The sequence below is a fragment of the Homo sapiens genome, chromosome 12 (assembly GCF_000001405.40).
Source record: "Homo sapiens chromosome 12, GRCh38.p14 Primary Assembly".
Lineage (NCBI taxonomy): Eukaryota > Metazoa > Chordata > Mammalia > Primates > Hominidae > Homo > Homo sapiens.
Window position 1 is genome coordinate 48964159 of NC_000012.12, and position 23126 is coordinate 48987284.

Consider the following 23126-nt stretch of genomic DNA (forward strand, 5'->3'; position numbering starts at 1 on the left):
CCCAGACTTGAGCCCAAGAAGTGGAGTTTGCAGTGAGCCAAGATCATGTCACTGCACTCCAGCCAAGGCAACAGAGCGAGATCCTGTCTCAAAAAATAATAATAATAAATAAGCCAGGCACAGTGGCTCACGCCTGTAATCCCAGCACTTTGGGAGACCAAGGCGTGTGGATCACTTGAGGCAAGGAGTTCGAGACCAGCCTGGCCAACCAACATGGCGAAAACCCATCTCTACTAAAAATACAAAACTTAGCCAGATATGGTAATGCATACCTGTAATCCCAGCTACTCGGGAGACTAAGGCACAAGGATGGTTTGAACCCAGGAGGAGGAGGTTGCAATGAGCCAAGATCTCACCATTGTACTCCAGCCTGGGTGACAAAGTGAGACCCTGTCTCAATCAAATAAATAAGGACAAAAAACATGCAAATAATTCCATGAGAGAACATGCTGGTTTTGCTAGTTTCCAGAGGGAAAAACTCCCATTTCAAGCATATGAATCTCTTTTATACGTTTCCCATCAGTCTTGCATCTATATCCCAAGTTCACTCCTTTGGAACCAGAGAAAAAAGTACCTGTTCTTTTGGGTCCAAATTCAGTGTTGAGATACATTTAGGACTGAAAAACTCCAGAACAAAGGCAACCTCGTGGTCTAGAATGAGGGTCAACACACTGCAGCTAGGGGACCAAATTTGGTCTTGCAGCCCATTTCTGTGAATGAAGTTTTACTGGACACGGCCACGCTCATTCGTTTATGTGTGGTCTATGGCTGCTGTTGATCTATAACAGCAGAGTTGAGTAGTTGTGGCAGAGTTGAATAGTTGGGACAAAGACCACAAGTGTAATGTATTTACTATCCAGCCCTTTACCGAAAAAAAACAAAAAAATTGCCAGCCCTTGTTCTAAGGCAGTGATCAAGGTGAAATCTGGAGTTGAGGCGCATAGAGAGTCAATAGGGCCTACATCTGGAACTCTAGCCCTTCCCACCTAGGAGTCCTTCCTGGTTTTACAAAGGAAAAGTTGCCAACAAAGTCACTGAGATTCATTTCAAATCCTTTGCGGAACTCAGCAGGATATACATAAAGTCACTGAGTGTAGGAAGGTAGGAGAATTCACCTAGAAAAGAAGCTATGGACTGGGATCCCAAGTGTGGGTACATACATCACCATCTGCATCCACCAGTCCAGTAACTTAATTTATTTTAGTTTCAAACAGGAACCAAGAACAAGTCTCAGTATGATAAATTATCCCTTCCCACCCTTCCTGCTGAAGAAGGAAAAAGAGGCTCCAAGAGTCATGGGAAAACCCCTTCCTTTGGAGGGTCCCCATTAACATCTGAATGGAAGGAGACAACTTCCCTAAGGGCCTGGACAGACAACTCTCTGAGGATTCAGGGGAGAGTGCCCCTCAGCACTCTGTCTCTTTCCCAAGAAAAACCTCTCTACCACTGTCTCCCATTATCCCACAAGAGGGAGCCCAGGCTGCAGTAAAGGAGTTTGGGGATAGTACATAGGAGTGGGTGATCTCTTTCTAGATACAGATCTTATGGCTCCAAACAGTGCCTGGGGTTATCCCTCAAGGGAGAGGAGTGGTGAAACTATAGGGACTCCCCAGCCAAAAGGAGTATGAATCAGGGTTAAAGGGGCTCTGGAGTTGAGAAGTGGGAGGAGCAATACAGTGCATTTCATCTTAGTCCATTCAGGTGTCTAAGGAGCAGAAGAGGGGTGGCAGCTTCCCCTCAAGACCCTCCAATTGTTGGGGAGAAGGCTACACATCCCAGAGTCCACCTGACCCCCACCACCCCTAAAGCTGTTTCCAGGTAGATACTTTAAGCTTCCAGGGACCAAGAGTGACCTTGGAAGGAAATCAGAGCAAAGGGCTGAAAAGGCGCCCCTCTCACACAGTCCTCTTCCCCAGCCCCAAGGTAAGGCTGACCCTCACTTACACACATTCACCCACTCTGTAACCTTGCACTCATCACACAGCACATAGCAGCACCAGTGGAAGCGGCAATGGCAGCGCTCAACTCGTGTCTGCCGGAGCACGTTGTGCCCACGGCCACAGCACAGGCTGCCACAGCCATCCAACAGGCGGCTGGTCTTGTTGCAGGCCCGGCCCCTTGTCCCTGGGGAGCCCATAGTGGGGTCTCGCTCACAGAAGTCAGGAGACTTCTCAAAGTAGACCAGCTCTCCTGAGAGGCGACGGGGACGCAGACGGGGCTGGAAGGCTCCAGAATTGCGGTTGTGGGTATCAATGAAGATGGCCCGGCCCAGCCGCTCCCTCAACGCCGCCCCCACTGCCCGGAACTCTGGGGCCGCCCTCCAGCATGTCTTGAACTGGCAGCTGCCTGATGTGCCATGACACTTGCATTTCCGCTTCAGGTTTTCAGTTACCACCTAGAGCATCAGGGGGAAAAGAGGTGAAGCAGAGGGCAGCAAATGGACAGAACACAGAGGCACAGGAGAGGGAAGGGAACAGAGAACACAGGGAGGGACAAATGGAGGCAAGAATAACATGGTATATCAGAACAGAAAGGACATTGCAGTTAGCTAATAGCCAACTTCCTCATTTTATGATGGCAGAATTGAAGACAGAGCAGTGTGATTTGTCCATCTTCCATCAACAGCTAGTAATAGAGCCAAGACTCAACTCAAGTTGTCCTGACTCCCAATCCAGTGCTCTTTCCATTGTAAGCACTTATAAAATTGGGAGTCTGGCCCACAGCATGCCTAAATTCTGTAGGGAAGGTAGCTGTAATAAGAGCTACTATGCAGTCAGCCAACGATGAGGCACTATGCTGGGTATACTATTTGCTAGCTCAGTCTGTTTTTTTGTTTGTTTTTGTTTTTTGAGACGGAGCCTTGCTCTTGTCGCCCAGGCTGGAGTGCAGTGGTGCCATCTCGGCTCACTGCAACCTCCGCCTCCCAGGTTCAAGCGATTCTCCTGCCTCAGCCTACTGAGTAGCTGGGATTACAGGCGCAGGCCACCACGCCTGGCTAATTTTTGTCTTTTTTTTTTTTTTTTTTGAGAGGGAGTCTTGCTCTGTCGCCCAGGCTGGAGTGCAGTGGCACGATCTAGGCTCACTGCAACCTCTGCCTCCCAGGTTCAAGCGATTCTCCTGCCTCAGTCTCCCCAGTAGCTGGGACTACAGGGACATGCCACCATGCCCGGGTAATTTTTTGTGTTTTTAATAGAGACAGGGTTTCCCACGTTAGCCAGGATGGTCTCGATCTCCTCACCTCTTGATCCACCCGCCTCGGCCTCCCAAAGTGCTGGGATTACAGGTGTGAGCCACTGCACCCGGCCTAATTTTTGTACTTTTAATAGAGATGGGGTTTCTCCACCTTGGCCAGGGTGGTCTGGAACTCTTGACCTCAGGTGATCTGCCTGCCTCAGCCTCCCAAAGTGCTGGGATTACAGACATGAGCCACCGCGCCCGGCCCAGTCTGTTTTTATATGTATAATTTTTTTAAATATAGAGATGGGGTCTCACAACGTTGCTCAGGCTGTTCTTGAACTCCTGGCCTCAAGCAATCCTCCCCCCTCAGCCTCCAAAAGTGCTGAAATTATAGGCGTGAGCCACCACACTGGCCTGCTAGCTCAGTCTTAATAACATTGTAAGATAAGTATCATTAGGTTCTTTACAGATACAAAACTGAGGCTGGGTGACTTGCTGATGGTGAGTGTCAGTCACTCATCACACTTTATCCTATCATTTCCCTATGCCTCTCAAACTCTAACCAGGCCTCAAAAGCTGGGGAGACCCAGGACAAGATGTACACACATACCTGGCGCCCCACCCTGTTGTTGTGGATTCGCATTCGTGCCTGGATGTCCCGGGGAGCTTCCCTGGAATCCAAGAAATCCCGAGAGAACTTCTCTCCAAAGTCCATGTCATGGTTACAGCCACCCCATTCCCATGTGTCCTGGGGGCCAGGGCTGGGGCTTGAGCCAGGGCCAGGGCTGGGCAGAGAGTGGGGGAAACTCTTGCCTCGGGACAGTGCCTGCAGCTGCAGCAGTTTGGCCCTCAGCCGATCCTGCTCACCACTGCCCTTCCAGCCACAGCCACAGCTCACCAGCTTGCCCAGGCTGCAGGCCGTGGCTACTGCGTGCATGACCCCAGCAGCCAGCATGGAGAAGGAAAAAGCACTTTCTCGGAAACCTGGGGATGAGAAGGGTGTGATGGTGGAGGTAAGGTTGACAGGCAGCTGAGAGTGTGGAGGCAGAAAGAAATAAACAGCCCCCCTCCAACTCCAGAAATTCCTAACTGAATCCTGACCCTGCCATTCACCAGCTGAGTGATTTGGAGGAAAGTCATGGGACAAGGAAGGGTACAAAAAGCACAGAGCCTCAGATTCTTCATTTCTAAAGGGAGGCAGGAGACGATGGGTCAAGATGATCTCTGAGGCCCATTCTCATTCTGTAAGTCTGTGATTTTCAGGTGTAGATGAAAGAGCTAGCCCACAGGGAGAGACCCCTGGAGTCGGGAGATGACTAAGAGGGAGTCCCTGAGGTCTTTGAAGATGTGTACAACCGAGTTCTACATCTGAAAGCCTTAGAAATTCCCCCAACCCTGCAGGGAGCTTGGGTGGGTGAGGTGGGAGCAGAGCCTTTGTGGTTCTGTTTTTTTGTTTTTTTTTTTTTAAATTCACTTCAGGGTTAATCAGTCTTTTAACCAACCTACCTACCACCATCCTAGCACCCCCAAAGCACTGGAGCTATGGAGCTGCCCTTCCGCTTCCCAAGATGTAGTTTTATATTTGCCCTTCAAGACTGCCCTTTTTATGTTTATCCTAACCTGCTATTACCCTATAAAACACTGAGAGGAGGAGAGAGGTTGGGGAGTGATTTTCCCTAAGGCCCTCTTAAAAGGTTGGCTTCTTTGTTATGTTTTGGGGGTCACAGAAGCTCAGGCTGCCAAGCCTTTCCCAGACTTAAATAAACATGCTCACCATTTGGGTGTCCAAGCCTTCCCCTACACCAGGCCCTGTGGGGAAGGAGGGGGACCCTCACTTCATTTTAGGCAGGGGCTCTCCGGAGCCCTGAGAAGACGAGAGACAGCACCCGCTTAGAGACCAGGCCTCTGCTACCCCAGGATCTAGGGCTCCTGGGCCAGCCTTCTGATCCCCCTAACTCCAACCCTCCAGGGGTGAAGCTGTTTGCACAAGTCTTGGGAATTCCCCTGCAGATGGCAGCTGCCTATTAACCCCATAGTCCCCAGAGCACTGCCCCCATCTCTGGGCTGAGCCCCCATGGGTCTTTACACCTCAGGGAGTGAACTCCAGTGGGAAACCAGGAGAGGCAGCCATGCCTCCCAGACCAGGCCAGCAGTGACCTGTTCTCTGCCTCTCCAGCCGTTCTTCACCTGCTCAGGTGAGCAACACCTGGAGCCCCCACAGCACAGAGGAGGGGACTGGCTCCCCAGCTTCAAAGTCATCAGGGTCTTTGTTCCCAGCTTTGGCTCCTGGGAACCCCAGCAATTAGGGGAGCAGATTTAACCCTTAAACGGTTGGGGGCGTCACCCCACCCCCGCTGAGACACTGGGGACACCAGCCTGGGCTTGTCCAGCCAAGATGGGGGGAGAGAAAATGGTGGAGGGAATAGGGGGGCGTTTGAAGCTTCCAGGACTGGGGGCATCTCTTGTTCACAGGTGCAACCCAGATTAAGCTGAGCGGAGGCAGGAAAGGGGGGCCCTAGGGTAGGAGAGCAGGGACCCAGCTGCCTCGCTGGCAGCACGCAGGTGGAAGTTAGGCGCGCAGGGGCCCAGACGAGTGGCCAGACCTGGCTCAGAGCGGCTCCGGGGGGGGCGGGGAATTCCAGGAGAGGCCCCTCCCGGAGCCGCGAAACCATCCCTTCCCGCCTCCGCGCGCCTCGCCCTGCCGCCCACCCCCTAGCCTCCGCGGCAGCGCCGACCCGCCCAGCCAGGCTCACCGCGCTTGAGGATGGCGCTGTGGTGCGGCAGGCGGCCGCCGCCCTCAAGCGCGGAGCAGTTCCAGCGCTGGTCGCGCAGCTGGTGCTGACACTCGTGGACCGCGATGTGCAGACCCTGAAGCGCGGACGCCGTCACGTCGGGGTTGCGCAGGCACAGGCCTAGCTGCCGCTTGCTCAGGCCGGACAGCGTCAAGCACACGGTGTTGGCCGTCAGCGGCGGCTCGCCAGGCAACTTCAGGCCCAGAATCTCATTGCTTAGAGCCCTGGGAACCAAGAAGGCGTCTGGGGTCTGCGGTCCAGACCCCTCCAACTCTCCCCACCCCGGGTCGGTGTTTCTATGGCCTGGGAGACAAGGGGAACTGCTCACCGACTGCACAACGCCAGGAACAGGAGACCCGCGAGGCCCGAGGGCGGAGGCCGCGGCCGGGGCTCCTCCAGCATGTCGAAGCCCGGAGGCTCCGGTGGGCAGATCGATCAGGACCTGCGGGACGGGAGACTTGATGCGGGTTCAGGAATAGGGCGGCTCGCTTGGGGAACCAAGTGACGCCCTTCTTCGGGCTCCTAACCCACCGGTGCCACCCTACTGACCCTTCTCATTCCTCCTCAAACAAAACAAGAAGAAACACCCCTTGATTCCCAGAGTCCCTGAGGCTTGGAGGTCTTAAAGAAGAAGAGTCAAGGCGTTGTCCCAGCTCAGGACTCAAGCGAGCACCCCTGGAACCTTGCCCAATCAGACACAACGCCCGGCACACAGACACACACTCACTTGCAAACTCAGACACACAGACTCACAAACACTTGCTCCACAACCTCGCCTACTGCTCCCTTTTCCAGGGCCCCACGACTAGCTTCCCCGCCCTCACAGGGCTAGGGAGAGGGATAGGGAGGAGGTTCCCCACCACCTAAGGGGGTGTCACCTCCAGGTGTCATCAAGGGCAAGTAGGCTCCATGAGAAAGGTCTAAGAATGAGTTCCCCACTCACACTGCCCCCTCCCTGAGCAGCAAGGAAAGAGGAGAGGCTCCAGGTGCAGGAAAGATGGGGAGGAGAGCCTGGCTCCCTCCTAAAAGGGACCGTGGCACAGACTGAGTCCTCTTCCCTATCCCCCACCTTGCCTAACTACAAGCTCCCCTCCTCCATAGTCGCCCGTCTGGTCCTCACCCCTTGGCTCTCACATTCATTGCATTCTAAATCTGGGGGCACTCCTTTATTCTCTGTGTCTTTATCTCTAGCAATATCTCTGGCTCTCTATGCGTCTCTGTGCTTCTGTGGGTGGATGCGTGTCTGTCTGTCTGTCTGACTACACACGTGCCTGTCTCTTCCTCGTGTGCACGTCCCTGCCCTCCCTGCTTTCCCAGGTCTAATTACCTCCAGTGGTTTGGGTGCGGGGTCCGAGACAGGCACGGTTGGGTTGCCTGGGCTTCACTAGTGCTGCTTAAACCGTGGGGAGACTGCGCTGGGTTCTGTCCCCTTGTCAGAGCCGCATTCTTCCAGGGCCGGGCCACTCCTCTTCACCGCTTCCCCAGCGCCGCCGCGGCCGCCGGGAGGAAGGGAGGGAGGAAGGGAGGGAGTGATCGAGAGAGCTAGCAAGCCGGCGAGCAAAGGACTGGGGGCTCTGGCTTTGCTCTCACCGAGCTCAGGGTGGCTCTGCCGGGCTGACGGAGCTGCAGCCCCTCCCCGAGCCTGGGGCTTCCCCACCCTACCCTCCACTCCCAGCCTTGACCAGGCGAATGCAGCCTCCCCCTCCTCCCAGCGCGCGCGCGCGCGCGCGCGCGCGCACACACACACACACACACACACACACACACACACACTCTCTCTCTCTCACACACCCTCTCCCCCGACGCCTGGGTTCAGGCTTGGCCCCACTGAAGAAGGAGGTGGCCAGAGTTCCTCTCACCTGATCTGGGGTCGCCAAGGCTGCAGGGAGGGTGTAGTAACCTTCCTAGGGAGCCAGAATGGGGCCCAGATGGCCACATCTTTCATCACTCCTCTTTGCGTCAGTTTCTCCACCAAGATCAGGGTGGCTGGAAGGTGCCTTTGACAAGATGAGGATGGAGCCAGACAGTCTTTGGGCTTCTCGGTGTGGGACAGTCACATGTGGCACCCACAGCCTGAGCGCACCCGGGGTACTCAGAGCGGGCAGGAGAAGCACACGTCTGGGCAGCTTGGTTCCCACCCTCCTCCAAGCCCTGCGCCTGCCCCTTTGGAGGGGACAGCTTTGGCCTCAGAGTTTGGCCCTAGCAGAGGTTCAAGTAGCACCAAAGATTGTCAGCCTGCCCCGATGCTTCCTTGCCTGGCAGGGATGCTTGCCAACAGAGGTATCCTACCCTTCTCGGGATTCCCCCGGTCTGCACTTTGGGTGGCCTGGATTCCTGCTCCAAGCTGTAGACTTGCTTCTTATGGGATGAGGAGGGCCTTGGGATCCAAAATTGAGCCAAGCCCAAGGGCAGCCGGGAAAGAGCCTGGTCTTGGGGTGCACAGGCAAAGGCAAACCGCCTTAGGGAGACCCAGTGGCAGCGAACGGGTTAGGCGCCACCGTGCTCCCGCCTGACTCACCCTCGAAGCTCTAACCACTGTGGGCTATTTTTGCCAGAGAGGGGCCCCAGGCTTTCCAGCCGCCCCCCGCCCCTGCCAGACCGCAGCCCAAGGCACGGCTGGCCCCACGCGCCCCAGGCACATTGACTCAGACTGCCCCCAAGCAAGCAGAGGAACAGGGATGATACCCACAACCACAGTCACCTCTTCCTTGGTGGTGGCGTTGCAGCTCTGCTGGGCAGCCAGCCTCCAGTCTGTGCTGCTGGAGGTCCTGCCCGTGCTGCAGGGGTCACTGTTGGATAGCGGGCACAGCAGTCTGAGACAGGAGATCGAGCAAACTTACATCTGTTGGGATATTTACAGATCACCTTTACGTGCCAGGCTGTGAGCAGTCTGGGGAGGTGAAAGTGCCATGGTCCCTGACACTGGACAGCCTGGACCAGACTGCTTTTCTCTGATTCCCTACCTCTGGGATGGGGAAGTGGGAGCACTAGAGTTCCTGACCCTCCTTCCCATTTAGAGGACAAGAGCCAAACCATGTGTGGTTTTGGAGGTCACCAGAATCTGCAAGCCCCATCTCATAGTTTTCATCCTTACACCTGGATTCATGATCCCCACCAGTGTCCTTATCCTTTTTCTTGCAGTCACCCTGGGATTCCTGCCAGGTCCTTGGAAGAGGGGAATGAGGTTGCCTAAGCCTCTCTTCTCCATGGGGACCTCATGGACATTTGTATTTCTCCATGTGTCTCTGGGTCCCCCTTAGGTTTGGGATTATTTTTTGCCTTCTGATTCTACCCTTGTCAGGCTCCAGCATACAGCCAGGTGCCAAGAAGGGGCGAGGGGCAGAACTACTACAATAGGTTTCAACTTCCTGGTGACCCTAGGTCTCCCCAAGCAGGACTGTTCCAAATCCAAGGACCCAGAGTCCTGCTCCTTCTCTCTACTGAAGCCCAACTCTGGGACAAGAGGCCACAGGCCGGCAGACTGGGTGGCCTGAGCTGGCCCGCAGTGCCCTCAGCCCGACCGGCTGGCCTGAGCACTGACCCGCAGGCGGCTAGAGGGCGGTGGGACAGGCGGGGCCTGGAGAGGGCTGTGGGTGCACACCCATTGCCTAATACCCCAAGCACGCGGCCAGCTCCAAGAAAGGGGAGGGACGGGAACCAGAGAGACCTTGACGTGGGTCAGGGCCAATGACAGGAGGGGGAAAGTGGGGGGCTTTCATCACTGCAGGGAGGGACTAGGAGCAAGCTGGTTCCCCTTCCCCTCAATGAGAAGAGTGGAGGGCTGCCCTTCCCATCCTAGGGATGGAGGGTGTAACGAGAGCAATGTGGGAAGAACACTGGGGCCCTGGAGGGCGGGGGTCAAAGAAAAGAGTGGGGGCCCCTGGAGATTGGGGGATGTCGAGCAACTGAGGCGGTGGCTAAAGCCTCAGAAGCCTCCTCCTCCTCCTCCCCCCATGTTTGCCTTGGCCCGGGGTCCCGGGTGACTCATCTGTTGCTGAGCCGCTGATAGGGGAGGCCAGACCCGGGGAACCCAAATTATAGGCCCAGGAGGGATGGATGCGCCCGTGGCGGTGAGCTCAGCTGCGCTGCCCACCCTCCGCTTAATGCGCCTTCTGCTGCAGCACCGTAGGCCACCACCTGGAGGCACCAAAGGGTCTGCGGGCCGACTGCATACTGGACTCTCAGGAAGGCCCCACTTTCAGCAGTCCACTCCAACAAATCCATGGGATTACCTTAGACAGAATTTTGCCCCCTTCTGTACTCAGGCCTAATGGATGGGCTGTGCCTTCCCAGCCCAAGGGGGCAGTGCTGCCTGCGGGTGCTTCAAAGGAGGGTAGGCTCCTCTGCCCACAAACTCTAAACCCTGGAGCCCTGCTTCCTCCCCAGATCCCAAAGTCAAGGCAAAGCCCCTCTCCCCTCTAACATCTCACCTCTAACCCTATTCCAGGGGGGTGGTTTGCTACTGATTTTCAACTTCAAGCCTTTAAAGTCATCCACGGTCAAAACTGATACAGAGAAAAATGAAGCAGGGTAAAGGAGATTAGTAGTGGGATTCTATTTTATAAAGGGGGAGGGAAAACAAACTGAAGGAACAAATACATGGAGAGATCTGAGGAAGAGCATTTTAGAAGACAGAAAAGCAGGTGCACAGACCCTTAGAAAGGAGCATGCTTGGTTCAAAGGATTAGAAAAGAGGCCAGTGAGGCTAGTGGGGAGAAATTCGCAAGGAAGAGAGTGGTAGGCAATGAAGCTGGAGGGCTAGGAAGGAGGCCCCTTTACTTTGAGTGACATGGGGTCTCGCTGGAAAATTTTGAGCAGAGAAATGAACTAATCAGACTTCTGTTTTAGGAAAGATGGCTCTGGGCTGGGCGCAGTGGCTCATGCCTGTAATCCCAGTACTTTGGGAGGCCGACGTGGGCAGATCACGAGGTCAGGAGTTCGAGACCAGCCTGGCCAACATGGTGAAACCCCACCTCTACTAAAAATACAAAAATTAGGTGGGAGTGTTGGTGGGCGCCTGTAATCCCAGCTACTCGGTACGCTGAGGCAGGAGAATCGCTTGAAACCGGAAGGTGGAGGTTACAGTGAGCCGAGATCATACCACTGCACTCCAGTCTGCACAACAAGAGCAAAACTCCGTCTCAAAAAAAAAAAAAAAGAAAGAAAGAAAGAAAGAAATTGGCTCTAGTAATTAAATCAACCCTTTTGATTTTTGCAGTAAAATGGAGCACTGAAATGGAGCAATCTTGGGCAGTAATGTGGGGTCTAATGAAGTTTTTGGGTTTTTCAGATGGGTACTATTGCAGCATGTCTGCATGCTTATGTGTATGTTCCAGGAGAGAGATAAGTGGATGATGCAGGAAAGAAAGAGGGGACAGTTGATATCATGATTATTTGATCTAAATAGAAAGTTGGGTGCTTGTTTTGGCAGCACATATACTAAAATTGGAATGATATAGAGATTAGCATGGCCCCTGCACAAGGATGACATGCAAATTTGTGAAGCATTTCATATTTTGAAAAAGAAATGTCAGCCAGGTCATAAACAGTGTGACCCAGATCTAGGGGCCTTACCCTCTTGCCCCCTACTCCTGGTGTGTGGAATGTTGGAACAAAGCACAGTGGCTCCTTTCCTCTCTTCCCACCTCTGCTTGACAACAGTCGTCAAAGACAGGGCTTCCATATTTTCCAGCCAGCCTCCCACCCTCACGGTGTTGTATCAATCCACCAGGCCAAAAGATGTGACCCAGGCCCCAGTGGGAAGAAACTCATAAGGGATAAAGGACAGGCTCCCCGTGATACATTGTCCATTTACTTGAGCTATCTATGCTGGGTGCTCTCTGCAGGGACTACTGGCTTTTGGATCTACGGAGGGTGCTGGACCACTACACCTTTTCCCTCTGGGGTGGATCCTTGGAAGGGCCAGATATACTAGGCTGGGCAAAAGGGAAGAAAAAAGGGAAAGAAGGACATTTCTTTCTAAAATAACTTCCATCAGGCTTCATTTGGGTTAATATGCATCTCATTTAAAACACAAGTGCCCGGGAATATTAATGAAACTTACCTGGCATTTATTCCTTAGAGTGATTTCCCTGCCTTAGAAGGGAATCCTAGTCATTTCTGGGACTTGAGACTTTAGGTTCAGGCCTGGGGAAATTTCTCAGTCAGAAGGCATCCTAAAAGACAAGGGAGATGAAAAAAATGAGAGCTAGAACTCAAAAGGGAGGCAGAAAGGCCCAAAAAATTATTTTTACCCATCAATTTTGAGAAGGGTTCCCAGCCTGTAATTGCTGCACACTGGCAAGCAGCTGGTAAGGTCGAAAGAGCATGGGCTTTGAGTCAAATTGGTCTGGGTTTTAATCTGGCTCTACCATTGATTCATTTATTAGACGTGGACCTTGGACAAGTGCCTGATCTATTTTTAATTCTGCAAAATGGGGAGAGAGAAGAGATCTTCCCTCCTTCCAGGGGCCATGTGTGTGGTGGTGGGGCATGATAACCAGGCTGGCAGTGCCCCCTATTCCCCATATAGGGAAAAGCAGCCACTTTTTTTTTTTTTTTCAGATGAAGTCTTGCTCTGTAGCCCAGACTGGAGTGCAATGGCGTGATCTCGGCTCACTGCAATCTCCACCTCCCGGGTTCAAGCCATTCTCCTGCCTCAGCCTCCTGAGTAGCTGGGACTACAGGTGTGCGCCACCACACTCAGCTAATTTTTGTATTTTTATTAGAGATGGGATTCCACTATGTTGGCCAGGATGGTCTCGATCTCCTGACCTCATGATCCACCTGCCTCGGCCTCCCAAAGTGCGGGGATTATAGGCATGAGCCACCGCGCCCAGCCTGTCACTTCTTCAATAGGAGGCCTAAATGGCCTTGAAGCTGAGTAGGAGTCCCTGGGAGAGAAGAGAAAAGTGTACAATGGATGAGATGGTCACAGGCACTCTGGGTATCCCAGTGTGGTGGGAACTAGAGCTTTAGGGAAAGACAGAAACTTGGCAGAAACATCCAAAGAGAAGCAAACACATGGAGGCACAAGTTTCCTCATCTAGGTTCAATGTAGCCAGCAACCCTTGTCTTCCCAGTCCTCTCCATCACCATACATACAGTGGACATCCGCACCATTTCCCATCCTTTCTGAGCCTAGGCCTCAGAGACTTAGCCACTCCAGGCTGGGTTCACCTCAATACCATCTTGGTTGTAGGCTCGGCTCTCTCCCCCAATGACATGCACTGGTTGACACATACCACAGTGTGACACGCCATAGGATGCCACGAGGTACAAAGGGCAACAGAATGACGCATACACACATATTTAATCTTCCCATGCACATGCTCATCCACCCACTCCACACACAGTCCAGACACTCTGCATCCCTCAATCATGCTTCTGAGTCTCCTGTCGACAGTTGCCACCTCCTTCCTGACACACTGCCCCAGGCGGTGACTGTGACAAGGTGACTCCATGACCTTTTCTGACTTGAGCTAAATTCCAAAATTCTTTGGAAAGTTTCCTAACATCCTTCGTCAGAACAAGGAGTTTCTGCACGTACCAACACACAGGAGGATGCACCCTCAGAACACAGCACATTCTCACTCCCACCCATATTCACGTTGTTCCACTTCACACACACACACACACACACACACACACACAGCCACTTGTGCGCTTCTTCTGGCGCACATGAGCAAACTGCCTGTTGCTTTAGGTTTCTCTCCACCGCTAGGCTCCTTTTGGTTAGCTCACCCCCACAACTCATCCCCGGGATTTCCCTGACCACAGCCGCACTCACGCCCCCGTCTCCCCTTTTTCCTTCTCTGTCCAGCCATCGGGGGTTCCTGGGCGGTTAAGCATCTCCCCGGAGTCGCTGCCCAGAACCACAGCTTTCCTTCCGACACTCAGGATGGGGGAGAGAGGGGACGTCGGAGGGGCCCGGGGTGACGTCGAGGGGACAACCCCACCGCGGGCGGCGAGGCGGGCTGGGCCCCTGGCGGGCTCTCCCCGCAGCACACTCTCGCCGCGCCCCCTGGCGGATGCTAGTCCTCGACGGGCTCCGGACGCTCAGCTGAGTGAGGCGGGCGCGCGTGGGAGGGTGTCCCAAGGGGAGGGGTCCGCGGCCAGTGCAGGCCCGGAGGCGGGGGCCACCGGGCAGGGGGCGGGGGTGAGCCCCGACGGCCAACCCGTCAGCTCTCGGCTCAGACGGGCGGGAACCACAGCCCCGCTCGCTGCCCATTGTCTGCGCCCCTAACCGGTGCGCCCTGGTGCCACAGTGCGGCCCGGAGGGGCAGCCTCCTCCCGTCACTTCAGCCAGCGCCGCAACTATAAGAGGCGGTGCCGCCCGCCGTGGCCGCCTCAGCCCACCAGCCGGGACCGCGAGCCATGCTGTCCGCCGCCCGCCCCCAGGGTTGTTAAAGCCAGACTGCGAACTCTCGCCACTGCCGCCACCGCCGCGTCCCGTCCCACCGTCGCGGGCAACAACCAAAGTCGCCGCAACTGCAGCACAGAGCGGGCAAAGCCAGGCAGGCCATGGGGCTCTGGGCGCTGTTGCCTGGCTGGGTTTCTGCTACGCTGCTGCTGGCGCTGGCCGCTCTGCCCGCAGCCCTGGCTGCCAACAGCAGTGGCCGATGGTGGTAAGTGAGCTGGTGCGGGGTCGCCACTTGTCCCGCGGCACAGAGCCAGGGGCCAACCCTACCCAGCTCCCACGCTCTGGGATCCGTCTGCCGACAGGCTCCCTCCCCGCTCTGACTTCCCTCCGCGACACCGAAGGGCGATCTGGCATGAAACTGCCCCAGACTCCAGCTCTGTACAAGTGGGGCGAATGATCCGCCCGCGGAGGCCTAAGATACCCCAGGCAGGGAGCCCACTCTCATCTAGCACCGCCCTTCCCCTTTGAGCGCCAACTCCAGCCTCACGGCGGTGGCTCACCACAGGTTTCCCCACCTCGGGAAGTGAAGGGCCAGGAGTTCGCCTAGAAAGGAGGGGAGAAGAGGGTGGGACTCCTAAGCATTTCACGCCTTGGGTGGGCAAGAACTGCAGGCCATGATTATCTCGCTCAGGCTGACCGGAAGAGGCTCGGAGATCCAAGGTAGACACTCGGTCTCCGGGTACCTCCTCTGTCCAGTCTCCGGACCTAGGGCTCAGGCGAGCAGCCCTGGGACTACTGGGCACACACAAGTCTGGACGCCCAGTTCTTTCAAATTAGTGAGCCTGGGAGAGCGGGTATTATTAATCTCCCGCCATTCTCTCCAGCCACATACCCCCAGGAAGAGGACCGGGTGGCACAGTTTTTATGGTTAGGGTGCGGATCCCCTTCCTGAGCCTGAGCTATCATACGTCCCACCAGGGGTATTGTGAACGTAGCCTCCTCCACGAACCTGCTTACAGACTCCAAGAGTCTGCAACTGGTACTCGAGCCCAGTCTGCAGCTGTTGAGCCGCAAACAGCGGCGTCTGATACGCCAAAATCCGGGGATCCTGCACAGCGTGAGTGGGGGGCTGCAGAGTGCCGTGCGCGAGTGCAAGTGGCAGTTCCGGAATCGCCGCTGGAACTGTCCCACTGCTCCAGGGCCCCACCTCTTCGGCAAGATCGTCAACCGAGGTGGGTGCCCAGGAAGGCGACGCTTCCGGGAGCAGGGGAAACGCGGGGTCACCCCCAGGGCATGGGCGGGCGAGTTCAGAGAAGGTGTCCCAGGCGCCTGGAGGGTCACACAATCAACCTTGCCAAGTGCCTCGTGCCCAGCGCCAGCTCGGGGCCAGACTTCTACCAGGCGTTTTCCAGCCGTGCACCCTGGAAACGAAGCTTAACTTTTCTGAGCTACTGCCCCAGATAAAGAAAGTTTCGGGTCGCGGACGCCGGCTGACCGCCGCTTTCCCCCAGCCTCTCTCAAAAGCGCCTGGGAAGCTGCTCTCTGCAGGCGTGTGTCTGGCCTCTCGCCCAGCAAGGCTTGCACCGCCAAAATGGGCCGAAAGTTTTGGGCTGCGAAGAAGTCTTGGGGATGTATGGTTCTTCCGCTCCCCTCTCTTCGGTTTGTCTCTCTGGGGCTGCTCCACTTCCGCTATCGAGCCAAAATGCGCCCTAGAATCTCCCAGTAAGGTGTGATTACGCCCGTGGACGTGGCTGCGTGCCCACGCACCTGCTTTCTCTACTAGCCCTAGAGACCAGCTTTCCAGCACTGCCGGCCCTGGCTCTCAGGACTCAAAGTGCGGAGTCGGGGGTGGGATTCCGGTCCCAAGCCCTTCATGAGGGTGCTGGCCGCGCCCCGCGTACCCCCTCGCTGATCCCCGCTCCCTTCTCCCACAGGCTGTCGAGAAACGGCGTTTATCTTCGCTATCACCTCCGCCGGGGTCACCCATTCGGTGGCGCGCTCCTGCTCAGAAGGTTCCATCGAATCCTGCACGTGTGACTACCGGCGGCGCGGCCCCGGGGGCCCCGACTGGCACTGGGGGGGCTGCAGCGACAACATTGACTTCGGCCGCCTCTTCGGCCGGGAGTTCGTGGACTCCGGGGAGAAGGGGCGGGACCTGCGCTTCCTCATGAACCTTCACAACAACGAGGCAGGCCGTACGGTGAGCTTTGAGAGGCTCCGCACCCTAAGCGGAGCGGCAGGGGCCAACCTCGGGCTGGGGAAGTGACGGTCGGTGAGATAAGGCAAGGGGCACCAGGAGAGGGCGTCCTGGGAGAGCCGGAGGCTTGGAACGAAGACGGAGAATAGAGGAGACAGTGGCTGAGGGCAAAGGTATGTCTGGCCCGCGGACAGGTAGAAGAGGTTGCAAATCAAGCACAGTCTCTTCGCTGTACAGATTCGAAAAATAAGCCTGAGAGGCCGAGACTGACTCGCCGCGGCGGAGCAGGGTTGGGCAGGGTTTCCAAATCTCAGCGGAACATTTCGCGCCTCCCTTCCCCTGGGCTCAGCTAGGCCTGGGCCTTTGCTGAGGTCCGGCCCCCGTGGCGTCCGGGAGAGGGCAGTGTCTGGGAGGGTGACTCTGGCCCGGTGCCCTGGGACACTCTTTCTTCCCCTATCCCCGCAGACCGTATTCTCCGAGATGCGCCAGGAGTGCAAGTGCCACGGGATGTCCGGCTCATGCACGGTGCGCACGTGCTGGATGCGGCTGCCCACGCTGCGCGCCGTGGGCGATGTGCTGCGCGACCGCTTCGACGGCGCCTCGCGCGTCCTGTACGGCAACCGCGGCAGCAACCGCGCTTCGCGGGCGGAGCTGCTGCGCCTGGAGCCGGAAGACCCGGCCCACAAACCGCCCTCCCCCCACGACCTCGTCTACTTCGAGAAATCGCCCAACTTCTGCACGTACAGCGGACGCCTGGGCACAGCAGGCACGGCAGGGCGCGCCTGTAACAGCTCGTCGCCCGCGCTGGACGGCTGCGAGCTGCTCTGCTGCGGCAGGGGCCACCGCACGCGCACGCAGCGCGTCACCGAGCGCTGCAACTGCACCTTCCACTGGTGCTGCCACGTCAGCTGCCGCAACTGCACGCACACGCGCGTACTGCACGAGTGTCTGTGAGGCGCTGCGCGGACTCGCCCCCAGGAACGCTCTCCTCGAGCCCTCCCCCAAACAGACTCGCTAGCACTCAAGACCCGGTTATTCGCCCACCCGAGTACCTCCAGTCACACTCCCCGCGGTTCATACGCATCCCATCTCTCCCACTTCCTCCTACCTGGGGACTCCTCAAACCACTTGCCTGGGGCGGCATGAACCCTCTTGCCATCCTGATGGACCTGCCCCGGACCTACCTCCCTCCCTCTCCGCGGGAGACCCCTTGTTGCACTGCCCCCTGCTTGGCCAGGAGGTGAGAGAAGGATGGGTCCCCTCCGCCATGGGGTCGGCTCCTGATGGTGTCATTCTGCCTGCTCCATCGCGCCAGCGACCTCTCTGCCTCTCTTCTTCCCCTTTGTCCTGCGTTTTCTCCGGGTCCTCCTAAGTCCCTTCCTATTCTCCTGCCATGGGTGCAGACCCTGAACCCACACCTGGGCATCAGGGCCTTTCTCCTCCCCACCTGTAGCTGAAGCAGGAGGTTACAGGGCAAAAGGGCAGCTGTGATGATGTGGAAATGAGGTTGGGGGAACCAGCAGAAATGCCCCCATTCTCCCAGTCTCTGTCGTGGAGCCATTGAACAGCTGTGAGCCATGCCTCCCTGGGCCACCTCCTACCCCTTCCTGTCCTGCCTCCTCATCAGTGTGTAAATAATTTGCACTGAAACGTGGATACAGAGCCACGAGTTTGGATGTTGTAAATAAAACTATTTATTGTGCTGGGTCCCAGCCTGGTTTGCAAAGACCACCTCCAACCCAACCCAATCCCTCTCCACTCTTCTCTCCTTTCTCCCTGCAGCCTTTTCTGGTCCCTCTTCTCTCCTCAGTTTCTCAAAGATGCGTTTGCCTCCTGGAATCAGTATTTCCTTCCACTGTAGCTATTAGCGGCTCCTCGCCCCCACCAGTGTAGCATCTTCCTCTGCAGAATAAAATCTCTATTTTTATCGATGACTTGGTGGCTTTTCCTTGAATCCAGAACACAACCTTGTTTGTGGTGTCCCCTATCCTCCCCTTTTACCACTCCCAGGCTTGGAAGCTTACCTCTCTCAAACAAATAGAATATGCTGTTGGGGGACTGGTTTCCTAACCTTGCCAGAGGACCCTGAGATTCTGACCCTTGGATGACCCTAACGAGGCCACTGGGAATCCAGCTCTCCTGAGAGAGGAACCTGGTCAGTAGCCAAACAACCCTGCAGGGTTCTTCTTCCTCGTGGAACAGCAACTGGCTGTGTGATATGGACAGGTGCATATACTTGGTGAATGGGGGTTAAACAACCTCAGTGCCTGCTTTTCCTGCCTGGAACAGCTGTTCAGAAAATAGCTACTATTGAATGATAACTGTGACCATCTTCCAAAAAGTAGGAAGAGAAACTAAAGCAGAGTGCTGCTGCCCCTAATGTGGAGCTATTGGTCCCTGAAGCTTGGCTTCTTCAGCTGTGGTCAGGGCATTGGACAGGGGTGAAGCCCTTCCACCAACAGAAAAGTAAATACTGGCCTGGGGCAGTGGCTCATGCCTGTAATCCCAACACTTTGGGAGACCGAGGTGGGTAAATCGATTCAGCCCAGGAGTTTGAGACCAGCCTGGGCCACACAGGCAGCCCCACCTCTACAAAAGAAAAAAAAAAAAAAAAAAAAAAAATATATATATATATATATATATATATGTGTGTGTGTGTGTGTGTGTGTGTGTGTGTGTGTGTGTATATACACACACTATTAGGTATTATATATGTATATCTATCTATCTATCTAATAAATACCTTATCAGGAGCCCCACTCCCAATCTTGGGCTCAGGGAGATCCAGATAATAGGTGATGAGCCTGGTGCTGGACCGAGAAGCTCAGAGATGCTGGTGGGAGAGAAGGGAGCAGGTAGGCTAGAATCCAAATGCAGGCTAGGCTTAAACCGATGTAACCAAAGGAAACCCTAATGTGGTCCATAACCAAACTACTAAGCTAGCCATTCCCATAAAGAACCAGAATGAGGATTTTGTTACTAACACCACCAGTGTGATACCTCTGTGTGCACATTCACCAGAGTCAGTGGGAGTTCTAATCCTACCCACGGCCCTAAACCTATCTCTAACTCTAACCCTCTTCCTGTTCCTAGGTCTAGGTTGAACCTTAGCCTTAACCCTAACTTCAGACAAACACTAACCCCTTCTAAGCTCTAATGTCTGTCCCTAATCCTAACCCCTCCCCACAGGGGAGGATCAGAAGGGCAAGGGGAGCTGTGAAACACCCAACCTATCCCCTAAGAGCAACAACTGCTCCCAGCCAGCTTGAGAATTTCCCCTTCTCCCCTATTCCCTCCTCTCCTGTTCAGGCCTCTTCTGCTGTTGGTGCCTCCCACCACCTTTGGGATATGTGTAGGGGTAGGGGAATGGAGCCAGGAACTGCTCAGTCCTGCAACGACATCCCTTTCCCTTCCTTTCCACCTGCCAAGCTAGCACCATCTCAGTTCTGATTCCTCACCCTAGGGGAAGAAATAAAAACCTATTGATCCTGGGGAAGAGGCACCTGAAAAGCTTTGGGTTTCCATAAAGAGCACCCTGCAGAGAATGCCCAGTCTATAAGCCAAAGGGCTATTAGATCCCTCAACTCCCCAAATAAGAAGTTAATAGGCTGCCAGAGGTGGGAGGGGGGGCTTGGGCCCCTGCTGGACAGTGCCCAGAGTTGAGATGAAGCAGCAGGGTAGAGTCAAAGCATTGGCAGCTGTCTCCAACTACTTTTGCCTAAATTCAAACTCTAAGAATTGGAGTCAGTATCAGCTTTCAGGCTTGGAAGCTGGGGCACTCTGAACCAGGTTGACAAACAGGAGCTGGAGGAAGAGCAAGGGAAAGTGGTGAATTCTTTTCTGCCCCTACCCAGACTTTCAGCAAATCTCGTACTTTCTCAGACTCAGTTGCCTTGCCTATCAAACAGGGATGGTTATTGTTACTTAACCTTTCAGGGAGGTGATGAGGTTCAGATGAGATGATGTACATGAAAGCCTGGGTCATTTGAATACTCACTGACACCTCTTCTATACCAGGCATCTGCCAAATGTTGGCAATACAATGATTTATAAACCATAGTGCCTGCTTGGAGGAGGTTGACAGTCTGGCCAGGGGATCAAGCACATCCTCAGATATTGTTAGCATATGGAGGGAGTGCAATGAAGGCTCAATGAAGTGTAAAGCCTTCTGCACATAAATGAAGTTTAAGGGCAGACTCCCATACTCAAGCCCTCGGCATGGAGGCTCTTCTCTTCCAAGGGCTGGAATTTCAAAGGTGATGGTGCTGGGAAGTGCAGAATTAGGCTGGGCCCTCAATGGGCACTAATAAAACACAAACACACATACACACACACACAAACAAGTAAAAGGGCAGAGGGATCTGCAAAGCACTACATAAAAGCTAATCATTTTGTTATTGTGATCATCTATGCTATCCTCACACAGGGCTGGAGCGGGTACATCCTGAGGAGAAGAACAATTATGCATAGAAAGAAGACTCACAAAGGTCTCAGGAGCCACAGTAGGCTCAGGGTGGTGGCCATAGGATGGTGTCATCAGGACTGTGCTTGATGCGCCACCTCTCACCACCTCTGATCTTCAGGTGCCAGGGCGCTGGATACACGTTGGCCTGAGCAAGTGAGGGAAAGACTAGTCCTGAAATATCCTGGGGGGAGTGGAAAAGCTGAGAAGAAAGGCAGGCTGTGCACAGTCCCCAGGGGGTCAGCAAGCCAGCACCACACACACTCTGCCACACGCACCCTGGAAAAACCCTGTCAGTGGGGCTGCAAATACCCTAGGGTCCAGCCTCCCCCAAAGCCTCCCCCCTCGCCCCAGGCTGGCTCAGTCCTCCTCTCCAGCGCAGAGGGAGAAAAATAACAAAACGAGGAGAAAATAAGCTGTTTGGCTGTGGTGTGAGCAGGAATATCCATGCAGGGCTGCCCACCACTCACCCTTACTCACTCTTTCCACACCCAGCCGGGGCGCCCAGCATGAGACAGACCACCCCCCTGCCCCCTCCCCCGTCTGGTCTAAAAGCAGACGCTGGTGAGCGAGCAGCAGGTTATAAATATGCCCAGGGAACTGCCGCCAACTCGCTCCCTTGTCATCCCCTGGGAGGGGCAGGGTGGGGTGGCTCCCAGGGAGGAGCCAGGGCTGCCCTGTTCCCTGAGGCCCAGGAGGAAGTGGGGCTTCCTAGAGGCTACCATATTTTCCCCCCTTTTCAAGGTGAAGGAACCACTGCCACTCCATTTTCCCTGAACATTTGCTCATCTCTTCAGATATGTGGTCCCTACCCTCCCTGGGCCCTGGCTGGAGGCTCGGAATGAAAGGGCCCAAAGTACTCTGTGTCATGGCACAGCCCGCTGCTACTTCTCTTCTTCACATGCATTTGCTCTCAGCAAAACAGAAGTTCATTCATTCATTCAACAAGCATTAACTGAAAGCCAGCTGAATGCCAGACCCTGTGCACAGGCCCACCTGTGTGCACAGTGTCTGCACACACAGGTGCAAGCACACACAGCTGCCCCTACTCCATGTGCTCACATCACCTCCAGCCCCCACTAAGGACTTCCTGGCTTCAACCTGCCAGCCTCATCAGGAAAGCAAAGCTTCAAGCTCCTGGTTGTGCCTCAGAGTAGGTTAGGGGGCATGGGGTAGGGGGTGGCTGAGAACAGGACCCCAAACACTTCTGCTTCCACTACTTCCCCTGTAAATGAGGGGGTCCTTTCTCTCCTTCCTGCCCAATCATCCTCCCTAAGTAGGTGCCATGTGACGAAGAAAGAGCCATTCTTGGGATGCTGAGGGTACCTGTCCAGGCCACCAGAGCCTCCCACCTCCCAGCAACTTGCCAACTAGGTGCCAAGCTGGGGCAAGAGGGGGCACTTCCACCCTGTGAAGCTCCCAGCTCTCCTCCCCCAGGGCTGAACCCCTCCCTTTTCCCTCCTCCCTATTAATCCTCGGAAGTTAAGGGGCCGTCCCTGGCGGCCCCTCAGCCCTATCGTGGCCCCTCACCCTCCTCGGCTGGCGTCTAATTAACTCCTCCTGCCCCTGGTTTTGTATGCCCCCCTTACCCCACCTTGTCGGCCCCGCCCCTCTGCTCGGCCAGCTCCCCCCCACGGACATTCCAGCCAGGCCGGGCCAGTGTGCCAGGGCAACCAGGGCCGGACCGAGGCCTAATCCTCCCGCCGCCTGGCCCGGCTGGGGGAGCCCCACTCACCTCCCCACTCTCTGGGGGCTGCCCGGCTCTGCTGTGGCGGAGACACACAATCGGGACAAAGGCACAGCCCCCAGGGGGCTAACTCAGCCTTCACGCCCAGGTTGTGCGGCATTTGGGGAGTTTAATGAATTGTCCATCACGCCTTTCAGGGCCCGCCCGTCAGCCTGGATTAATCTTCGGAGCCCTGGTGGGGTAGGAGACACTAAGCCTGTATTTATTACTCTCCCATTGTCACTAATTGAGGTAATTATCTGTGACTCTGGCCTGGCCAACAATGAGGCATTCACTCCTGGGACCTCGATGGGCCTGGCTCCCACTCTCAGCACCAGCCCTCCCTCCCCTCCTCTTCCAAACCCGCCAAGGACTACGATGGGCCCTGGAGCATGTTGGGAAAGTGGACA

The 23126-nt window shown here is 55.4% G+C and overlaps 2 protein-coding genes, 1 long non-coding RNA gene and 1 pseudogene across 6 annotated transcripts, besides 13 other annotated features; 2 read left to right on the forward strand and 2 right to left on the reverse strand.

Annotated features, from left to right (window-relative positions):
* Window positions 182-775: an enhancer, noted in NCBI's record as "H3K27ac hESC enhancer chr12:49358123-49358716 (GRCh37/hg19 assembly coordinates)". NCBI's record gives its function as "activates a minimal SCP1, AML or CMV promoter by ChIP-STARR-seq in naive H9 embryonic stem cells {active_cell/tissue: H9 hESC(naive)}" and the evidence as "EXISTENCE:reporter gene assay evidence [ECO:0000049][PMID:30033119]".
* On the reverse strand, window positions 1182-7577 carry WNT10B (Wnt family member 10B). Its single transcript, NM_003394.4, has 5 exons — window positions 7297-7577; window positions 6298-6411; window positions 5931-6193; window positions 3788-4161; window positions 1182-2395 (listed from the first exon to the last, which is right to left on the reverse strand). Exons 2-5 carry the CDS (start codon window positions 6369-6371, stop codon window positions 1937-1939), a joined length of 1170 nt encoding a protein of 389 aa, NP_003385.2. The 5' UTR covers window positions 6372-6411; window positions 7297-7577; the 3' UTR covers window positions 1182-1936.
* Window positions 2171-2723: an enhancer, noted in NCBI's record as "H3K27ac-H3K4me1 hESC enhancer chr12:49360112-49360664 (GRCh37/hg19 assembly coordinates)". NCBI's record gives its function as "activates a minimal SCP1, AML or CMV promoter by ChIP-STARR-seq in naive H9 embryonic stem cells {active_cell/tissue: H9 hESC(naive)}" and the evidence as "EXISTENCE:reporter gene assay evidence [ECO:0000049][PMID:30033119]".
* Window positions 3452-4335: an enhancer, noted in NCBI's record as "H3K27ac-H3K4me1 hESC enhancer chr12:49361393-49362276 (GRCh37/hg19 assembly coordinates)". NCBI's record gives its function as "activates a minimal SCP1, AML or CMV promoter by ChIP-STARR-seq in naive H9 embryonic stem cells {active_cell/tissue: H9 hESC(naive)}" and the evidence as "EXISTENCE:reporter gene assay evidence [ECO:0000049][PMID:30033119]".
* Window positions 5801-5880: a silencer, noted in NCBI's record as "silent region_4416". NCBI's record gives its function as "represses an Ori minimal core promoter by ATAC-STARR-seq in GM12878 lymphoblastoid cells {active_cell/tissue: GM12878}" and the evidence as "EXISTENCE:reporter gene assay evidence [ECO:0000049][PMID:35858748]".
* Window positions 7348-7642: a silencer, noted in NCBI's record as "tiled region #4091; K562 Repressive DNase matched - State 4:PromP". NCBI's record gives its function as "represses a minimal TATA promoter and a strong SV40 promoter by Sharpr-MPRA in K562 cells {active_cell/tissue: K562}" and the evidence as "EXISTENCE:reporter gene assay evidence [ECO:0000049][PMID:27701403]".
* On the forward strand, window positions 11385-11488 carry RNU6-940P (RNA, U6 small nuclear 940, pseudogene; annotated as a pseudogene).
* Window positions 13849-14218: a silencer, noted in NCBI's record as "silent region_4417". NCBI's record gives its function as "represses an Ori minimal core promoter by ATAC-STARR-seq in GM12878 lymphoblastoid cells {active_cell/tissue: GM12878}" and the evidence as "EXISTENCE:reporter gene assay evidence [ECO:0000049][PMID:35858748]".
* WNT1 (Wnt family member 1) lies at window positions 14164-18462 on the forward strand. The gene is made up of 4 exons (NM_005430.4): window positions 14164-14596; window positions 15310-15563; window positions 16266-16531; window positions 16994-18462. Exons 1-4 carry the CDS (start codon window positions 14493-14495, stop codon window positions 17480-17482), a joined length of 1113 nt encoding a protein of 370 aa, NP_005421.1. The 5' UTR covers window positions 14164-14492; the 3' UTR covers window positions 17483-18462.
* Window positions 15102-15701: an enhancer, noted in NCBI's record as "H3K27ac-H3K4me1 hESC enhancer chr12:49373043-49373642 (GRCh37/hg19 assembly coordinates)". NCBI's record gives its function as "activates a minimal SCP1, AML or CMV promoter by ChIP-STARR-seq in naive H9 embryonic stem cells {active_cell/tissue: H9 hESC(naive)}" and the evidence as "EXISTENCE:reporter gene assay evidence [ECO:0000049][PMID:30033119]".
* Window positions 15702-16303: an enhancer, noted in NCBI's record as "H3K27ac-H3K4me1 hESC enhancer chr12:49373643-49374244 (GRCh37/hg19 assembly coordinates)". NCBI's record gives its function as "activates a minimal SCP1, AML or CMV promoter by ChIP-STARR-seq in naive H9 embryonic stem cells {active_cell/tissue: H9 hESC(naive)}" and the evidence as "EXISTENCE:reporter gene assay evidence [ECO:0000049][PMID:30033119]".
* Window positions 16736-16795: an enhancer, noted in NCBI's record as "active region_6298". NCBI's record gives its function as "activates an Ori minimal core promoter by ATAC-STARR-seq in GM12878 lymphoblastoid cells {active_cell/tissue: GM12878}" and the evidence as "EXISTENCE:reporter gene assay evidence [ECO:0000049][PMID:35858748]".
* Window positions 16904-17504: an enhancer, noted in NCBI's record as "H3K27ac-H3K4me1 hESC enhancer chr12:49374845-49375445 (GRCh37/hg19 assembly coordinates)". NCBI's record gives its function as "activates a minimal SCP1, AML or CMV promoter by ChIP-STARR-seq in primed H9 embryonic stem cells {active_cell/tissue: H9 hESC(primed)}" and the evidence as "EXISTENCE:reporter gene assay evidence [ECO:0000049][PMID:30033119]".
* Window positions 16976-17225: an enhancer, noted in NCBI's record as "active region_6299". NCBI's record gives its function as "activates an Ori minimal core promoter by ATAC-STARR-seq in GM12878 lymphoblastoid cells {active_cell/tissue: GM12878}" and the evidence as "EXISTENCE:reporter gene assay evidence [ECO:0000049][PMID:35858748]".
* Window positions 17326-17455: a silencer, noted in NCBI's record as "silent region_4418". NCBI's record gives its function as "represses an Ori minimal core promoter by ATAC-STARR-seq in GM12878 lymphoblastoid cells {active_cell/tissue: GM12878}" and the evidence as "EXISTENCE:reporter gene assay evidence [ECO:0000049][PMID:35858748]".
* LOC105369757 (uncharacterized) lies at window positions 18199-22916 on the reverse strand. 4 transcript variants are annotated; one of them, XR_944930.2, is made up of 4 exons: window positions 22726-22812; window positions 21012-21138; window positions 19272-19361; window positions 18199-18430 (listed from the first exon to the last, which is right to left on the reverse strand). It is a non-coding gene; the product is annotated as an uncharacterized LOC105369757 (long non-coding RNA). The 4 variants fall into 4 exon arrangements; XR_944927.2 differs by having other exon boundaries at window positions 19272-20332; XR_944928.1 differs by lacking the exon at window positions 18199-18430 and adding an exon at window positions 19093-19117 and having other exon boundaries at window positions 19272-20332.
* Window positions 20881-21403: an enhancer, noted in NCBI's record as "H3K4me1 hESC enhancer chr12:49378822-49379344 (GRCh37/hg19 assembly coordinates)". NCBI's record gives its function as "activates a minimal SCP1, AML or CMV promoter by ChIP-STARR-seq in naive H9 embryonic stem cells {active_cell/tissue: H9 hESC(naive)}" and the evidence as "EXISTENCE:reporter gene assay evidence [ECO:0000049][PMID:30033119]".
* Window positions 22917-23126: the final 210 nt, after the last annotated feature.

Bases quoted from the DNA above. Each gene is read 5' to 3' on its own strand.
- WNT10B (NM_003394.4), bottom strand. From the start codon at position 6,371: ATGCTGGAGGAGCCCCGGCCGCGGCCTCCGCCCTCGGGCCTCGCGGGT. The intron at 6,194-6,297 runs GTGAGCAGTTCC...CTTGGTTCCCAG, and splicing joins TTCCTGGCGTTGTGCAGTCG to GGCTCTAAGCAATGAGATTC. The intron at 2,396-3,787 runs GTATGTGTGTAC...CTGATGCTCTAG, and splicing joins ACAACAGGGTGGGGCGCCAG to GTGGTAACTGAAAACCTGAA.
- WNT1 (NM_005430.4), top strand. From the start codon at position 14,493: ATGGGGCTCTGGGCGCTGTTGCCTGGCTGGGTTTCTGCTACGCTGCTG. The intron at 14,597-15,309 runs GTAAGTGAGCTG...ACGTCCCACCAG, and splicing joins AACAGCAGTGGCCGATGGTG to GGGTATTGTGAACGTAGCCT. The intron at 16,532-16,993 runs GTGAGCTTTGAG...CTATCCCCGCAG, and splicing joins ACAACGAGGCAGGCCGTACG to ACCGTATTCTCCGAGATGCG.